This window comes from Homo sapiens, chromosome X, assembly GCF_000001405.40.
Source record: "Homo sapiens chromosome X, GRCh38.p14 Primary Assembly".
Taxonomy (NCBI): domain Eukaryota; kingdom Metazoa; phylum Chordata; class Mammalia; order Primates; family Hominidae; genus Homo; species Homo sapiens.
In genome coordinates this window covers 137,234,435-137,240,115 of record NC_000023.11, presented here as the reverse complement: position 1 = coordinate 137,240,115, position 5,681 = coordinate 137,234,435, and the positions used below count along the sequence as shown (strand labels likewise).

General features: G+C 39.3%; 1 annotated feature.

The window, feature by feature from the left end:
• Nucleotides 4,404-5,469: an enhancer, noted in NCBI's record as "VISTA enhancer hs755". NCBI's record gives its function as "enhancer in: hindbrain (rhombencephalon)[8/9] | midbrain (mesencephalon)[8/9]" and the evidence as "EXISTENCE:transgenic organism evidence [ECO:0001131][PMID:17130149]".

Genomic DNA, 5,681 nt, shown 5'->3' with positions numbered 1-5,681 from the left:
GGTCATAGGAATTAAAAAGGGGAAAACAGCAGTTTATATTAAGATATACTACTGGTCCAGCATCCATTCTAACAGACCTCAATACTCAGAAAATTGTAGAAGCTGAAATGAATTGGAATAAATACTATGGCAATATTAAAAGACTTTTTAAAATGCTATTATAGAGCTAAAATATTCACCCAGCTGAGAACACTTTCTTTGCAGTAACACTACTACCAAGATGTGATTTAGTAGTAAATTTCTTTAACATTTCAAAATCCTTTAATGATAGGTCATTTGTTGAGCTCCATTTTGTTCCTCCAATTGTAGACTTCAGCACAAACTGCCATTTTCTTTGCCTGTGGTTATCATGGAGTTTAATTTTTTTTTTTAATATAGAAAAGCATGTGTGTTCACTGGCAAAGGAATCTAGTTAACATCGAGATTTTAACATATGCCCTGATGCTAGGGCACTTTTTAACTATCCTCAAGAACATTGTTCAAATTTTTGTGCCTTGATTGAAGTGTGTGATTCTCTAACAATCCAGGATTACTACGAATACACTTTGCTTTTCAAAGTGTGGATGGGAAGATCCAGTTTAAAACTATGGTCTGGGACCAGCAACATCAGCATCGCCAAGGAGTTCATTAAAAATGCAGAATATCAGGGCCCATCCTAGACCTATTGAATCAGAACCTGTATGTTAACACAATTTCTCAGGTGATTCATGATGCACATTAGAGTTTGAGAAGCACTAATGTAACATTTATAAGAGAAAAGCAAACAGTTAAATAGGAATTGCCCGATAAATCAGCAACTGGGTGATGTTAATCACATTTCGGTTGTTACTGGAGGGGCTGCGGAAGAGATAATGATAGAGTGGAGTCACTGCATAAAATGAAGCGGGGAGAGTGGTAAAGAAAGATTATTGAGAGAGCACCCGAACCAAAAGTTTTGTTCTGCCAAAAAGCCAGAGAGGTTTGTAAAACTCTTCTCACTGCAACAAAAGGGAAGGGGAAAGCATAGAGAGATGAGAACGAGGTATAGATAGTATAACAGAGGATGAAAGATGTAAAAAAATTGGAACCTCAGTCCTGCTGGAGACTCATTGTAAATGGGATGCAAATCAGTGATTATGGAAGGTTTATGAATAAGGTCCCAGTTAAAAGCAGCCAGCAGTGCACGGCTCAGAGGCTCTGGCTTCTGGCACAGAAGAATCCTTTCCCTCTCCTTGATTTATTCTCCAGTGATTGTGAGTTTTCTGAAGATATACATATATCTGATGATAATGGAGATTCTGTGAGACTTTTCTCCTTCATATTTAATCTACAAATTCATTATGGATTTTCTTGATGAATTAAACCTCTTCCCATAACAATGTCTTAAGAGTGCCTGTGTGTATGTGAATGGGGGAGAAGGGTAGACAATCAAGTACCTATCCCTAGATCTAATAGGAAAAATGGATCAGTGAATAGGGTAAGACATTCCCAAAATTACCACAGGGATAGTTACATCCTTAAATTCAGAATTGGAAGGCAGCACTGAAATCCCTTGACATTCACCGATTGCATGTCTTTATTGAATTTTTTATTATCTTTTTTTCCCAGAGTGAAAAATTGCCAAAACCAGAACTGAAGCACCTATATTTGTTATGATTTTTACTCATCATCTACAAGGTTGAGGTTGCTGGTTGAGAGAGAGAGAGAGATATTAGATGATGCCAGAAAATATAATACTTCCTGAAAGAGAACCAGGCTGTGCAGATCCTGTTCTACCTCATAGCTGGAAAGAGATTGATTTTTTTTTTCAATTTTGCAATAATCTGTATTATTTGAGGCTTTTCCATCACTCTCTTCCTCTGCAGCCCCTTTCAAATCCTTGTTTAGAATCATGGGGAAGTGGGTAGGCAGGAAGGGAGGTACCTTTCACCTGATTTTTCAGTGACCCTATCAAAGAAAGAGAAGCCCAGAAGAAATGTGAAGGCCACTGTGCACATGAAACAGCACAGAGTGGACCCAGCTATTTCTTTTAATAAAGAAACAAGTAAATTAGTTTCACAGAGTAATACTAAAATTGGTTTCCTCACCACACAAAACCATGAAGATATTTATATATAATTTATCTTTCTAAGTTGTCATGTGGCAAAAGACCACTTGCTGTGCAGCAGGCTTCTCTTGCTACTTAGAGAGAATTACGTGATTAAATAGAGACCTGAAAAGTTTTGAACAAGCACTGAAGGAGAAAAGGTTTCCTCTTCAAGCCTTAATGAAGTGAGCTCATTCCTCCTCCAACATCAACTTAGCCTTGTGTAGTTTGTTTTCTCGCGGGTTAATCACTGACCAGAGCTGCAGTGCGGACCACCAGTTTCCAATAAACCATAAAAGGCCGATCAGCAGCCATTGTGCTTTTCTGTAGGGCTTAGCAGACAGCAGCTGAATAAACCTGTTCAAAGTCAGAACAGTCAAGCAGGAGCGCAGAGGCCCAACCAGTGCCTCTGGTGAATCCTGAAAAGCAAATTAATTTATTAGGACATAATTGATAGCATGTGCAAATACACTAGCCAGAGACTCCCCTGTGCTAATTTCAGCATAATTAAATATGGGGCAGTTAATGAATAGTGTTCTGGGAAAGCAACATTATGATAAATATCCAATTATTACTTTCTGTATCCCATACTTGCTATGTTACATGCAGGCCAATGCTTCTGCTTTCGAGGTTTAGAGAAAAATCCAGAGGGAAAGAAAAGACCTAACAAACTGTGATTCCTCTGAATTAAGTTTTAAATAAAGGCTGTGGCAAGTGAAATCCACCCAGAAAGAGAATTACTTGAATATGCACGGAAAGGAGGACATGAAATCTATCAATTATATTTTCATGTAAATGCACATGTTCTTTCTTCTTTGGAGAGTTTCACAATTTGGGAATTCAAAGCTTCTGTGCAAATGTTGTCTAAACAAGGCTTCCCTTTACAAAAAAAACTCCACCTGCCAAGGTAAAGACTGAACAGAGAGCTGCTCAAATACAGCAGAAGAAACCTACACCGTCGGCCAATATGCTGCTGGCTGTACAGAGTCCTCTGGCTGTGGTTCCCTTTTATTTCTGCCCTTTCCCTCAAAGTTGCATCAGAAATTACTGCCAAAAATAGTGCTCCCTGTGGGTCAGGACCTTAGATTCAGCAGTCTTTCCAGACTCACAACACAGTAACAACTCCATCGTGCCGTTTCTGATGTGTCCTTTGGCTACTGCCTCTACAGGTTAAGAAAACAAAACAAGCAGGAGAAAACAACAACAACAACATTTCCCAGTAAAAGTAAATAAATAACACCTCCCTAACCAGCTTGGCCAATAGAGCTTTTGAAGTCACAGCATCAGTATGCATAAGGAATGTCAAATGTCTAAATTGTGCCATATTTCTCCAAAGGATCTTTGAAGCAACCTTTGAAGATGGGAGAGAGATCGCCACATCCTCCCCTAATCCCTGAGGCTGATAGGTGAGAGAAAGGCGGACACTTTCATTTCCTACATTCATCAACAAGGATTTTCTTCTGAGCAGTCTCAGATCTGTGGAGACTTCATTGTCACTTGGAGTTATGTTTCTCTTCCCAAACGGGAGCCTCTTCTAACACATTTCAACTGCTTGTCGCCAATTGTGTTGTCAAAGAGCTGGGGCTTTCCAAATTATTTGCTGCTGGTTAGAATGGGACATGGTCCTAAAGGCAGAAGTAATAGGAGGCTTACCCCATCTGCTCTGGTCAGTTTCTTTTCCCCAGCTGGCATCAGGGTGTCATTTCTATTCTCCACACTCTTGGTGTTTCTGACAGCTAAAGCTGCCAGATAAATGATCATTCTAGATACATTTGTGATGCATGATATGCCATAGAAAACAACCAACATTAGAGTGACCCTTAGTTATCATTTTAGAAATTAGAAAATGAGAGCTCATGTGCGTATCTTTTATATCTTTTCTTTTAGGATCCTGATGGTCTCTCCATCAGCTTGAGGTTTTTTTGTGGTTGTTTATGCAGCTTTGAGCAACATAGGAGTTTAAATCAACAGTTGATATTTTCAAGTCCTGCCCTGTACAATCACCCTGTAGCAGAGGCCTGCCTGTACCATTTGGCCATCAGAAGACACACTACTGTGATAAACGTCCTTCCTAACTAAATGACACTTTGGAAAAGGTAAAACAATTTTAATCTGACTAGGAAGAATCTATGTACATTTTCCAAAGTAATCAAAGTCAAAAGTTTAAGGACATTTCAAAGGAAAAAAATAACCTAGGCATTAAGTGACTCTTCAAAAGAGACCTGGCCCACAGGGAAACTTTTCAACAGACAGCATGGACCTACTGACCTGGGAGGGAAAGAAGTGTCATCGGGGCAAAGCAGAGACTAAATCATGAGGAATGTCCAAGTCTCACCTGACTCCAGCTGAAGCCAACACTAGTGTGCAAATCTACAAAGGAACCACTGCAAATCATTGTCTGTGTCACATTATTAGGCAGCTTTCCAGTGGCTACTTTATTCTGGGCAGTCTTTCAATGCAGATAGATGCCTTAAACTTGGGTTTTGCACATAATTTGCTATTTTAGAGCAGTTTATTTCTCTCACCTGCACACCCCATGGGGACTCACTGATTGCTTTAATTCTAACATTTGGAGTGGAACCCATTCATGAAAATTTCTGGCTGTGTGATTCAAACGAAGGCTTCTCTTTCCTCTTTTTGTTCTCACAAGAAAATCAATTCACTTGAAGAGCCTCTTAATCCCATTTTTGCAATCAACAATTGCCACTTGTATATCGCTCTAATAGATTAAGAAGTGGGATGATGCGGTTGTCTGGTCTAATTCAACCCTATTCAGGTAGCTGCAGCCTGAGGCACTTTGTAGTGCCAAGTGCAGAGCTCGACAGGAAGACTTTTGCTATCATAATTTCCTGTGGAGCTATGCACTGCCCCCACTGTGGAGCCTGAATTACTTTGAATTAGGCCCGACAACCACAGAGAGTCGAAATCCAGCAAGCAACAATAACCAACTCTTTGAGCATGACTTGCATGGGTTATTTTTTTCTTTGCATTGGCAAAGAAAGGAGGAATTTCAAAATGCACATCTATTTAAATGACAGCAACCTGCCATAAATCAAGTGTGAAACAAAAGAGAAAACAGTCGAAGTGAGAGAGAAGTTGGAGTGGAGGAAAAATTAATCAAAACAGTTTTCAAAAACTTCATAGTTTGAGCCTGTGAAAATTTTCAGGCCTACACTATCACCATGACAACCTGTAGCAAGCCCATGTTGGATAACCACATCAGAAAGGGGCTGTTTTGTAAGGATGAAGCCCTCACATTTTCATCCTAAGTTCAAGTCTCACTTCTGAATGCCTTTTAAAAATCACAAAAATTAAAATGCAAATATTAAAAACTACAGGAGCTTCTTTGATGCTCTGGAAAAAGATAGATGCAGCCAGATCTTCTTGTGTGATTTTAAAATGGTCTTATCATGAAGTCCATACTAAACCCCATGCAGCTGTCACTTCAGGTAGGTGGTGTTTGAATCATAAAGCAACTGCTACGATGTATCAAGCCCAAGTGGGAAAGAAACAGCCATACATTAAATGATTAAGCAGATTCCAACAATTGTCAAAATTGGAAACATGTGGTTAAAATAGATTATTTCCGGAGATAGCAGTTAAACAAAATGTTCTA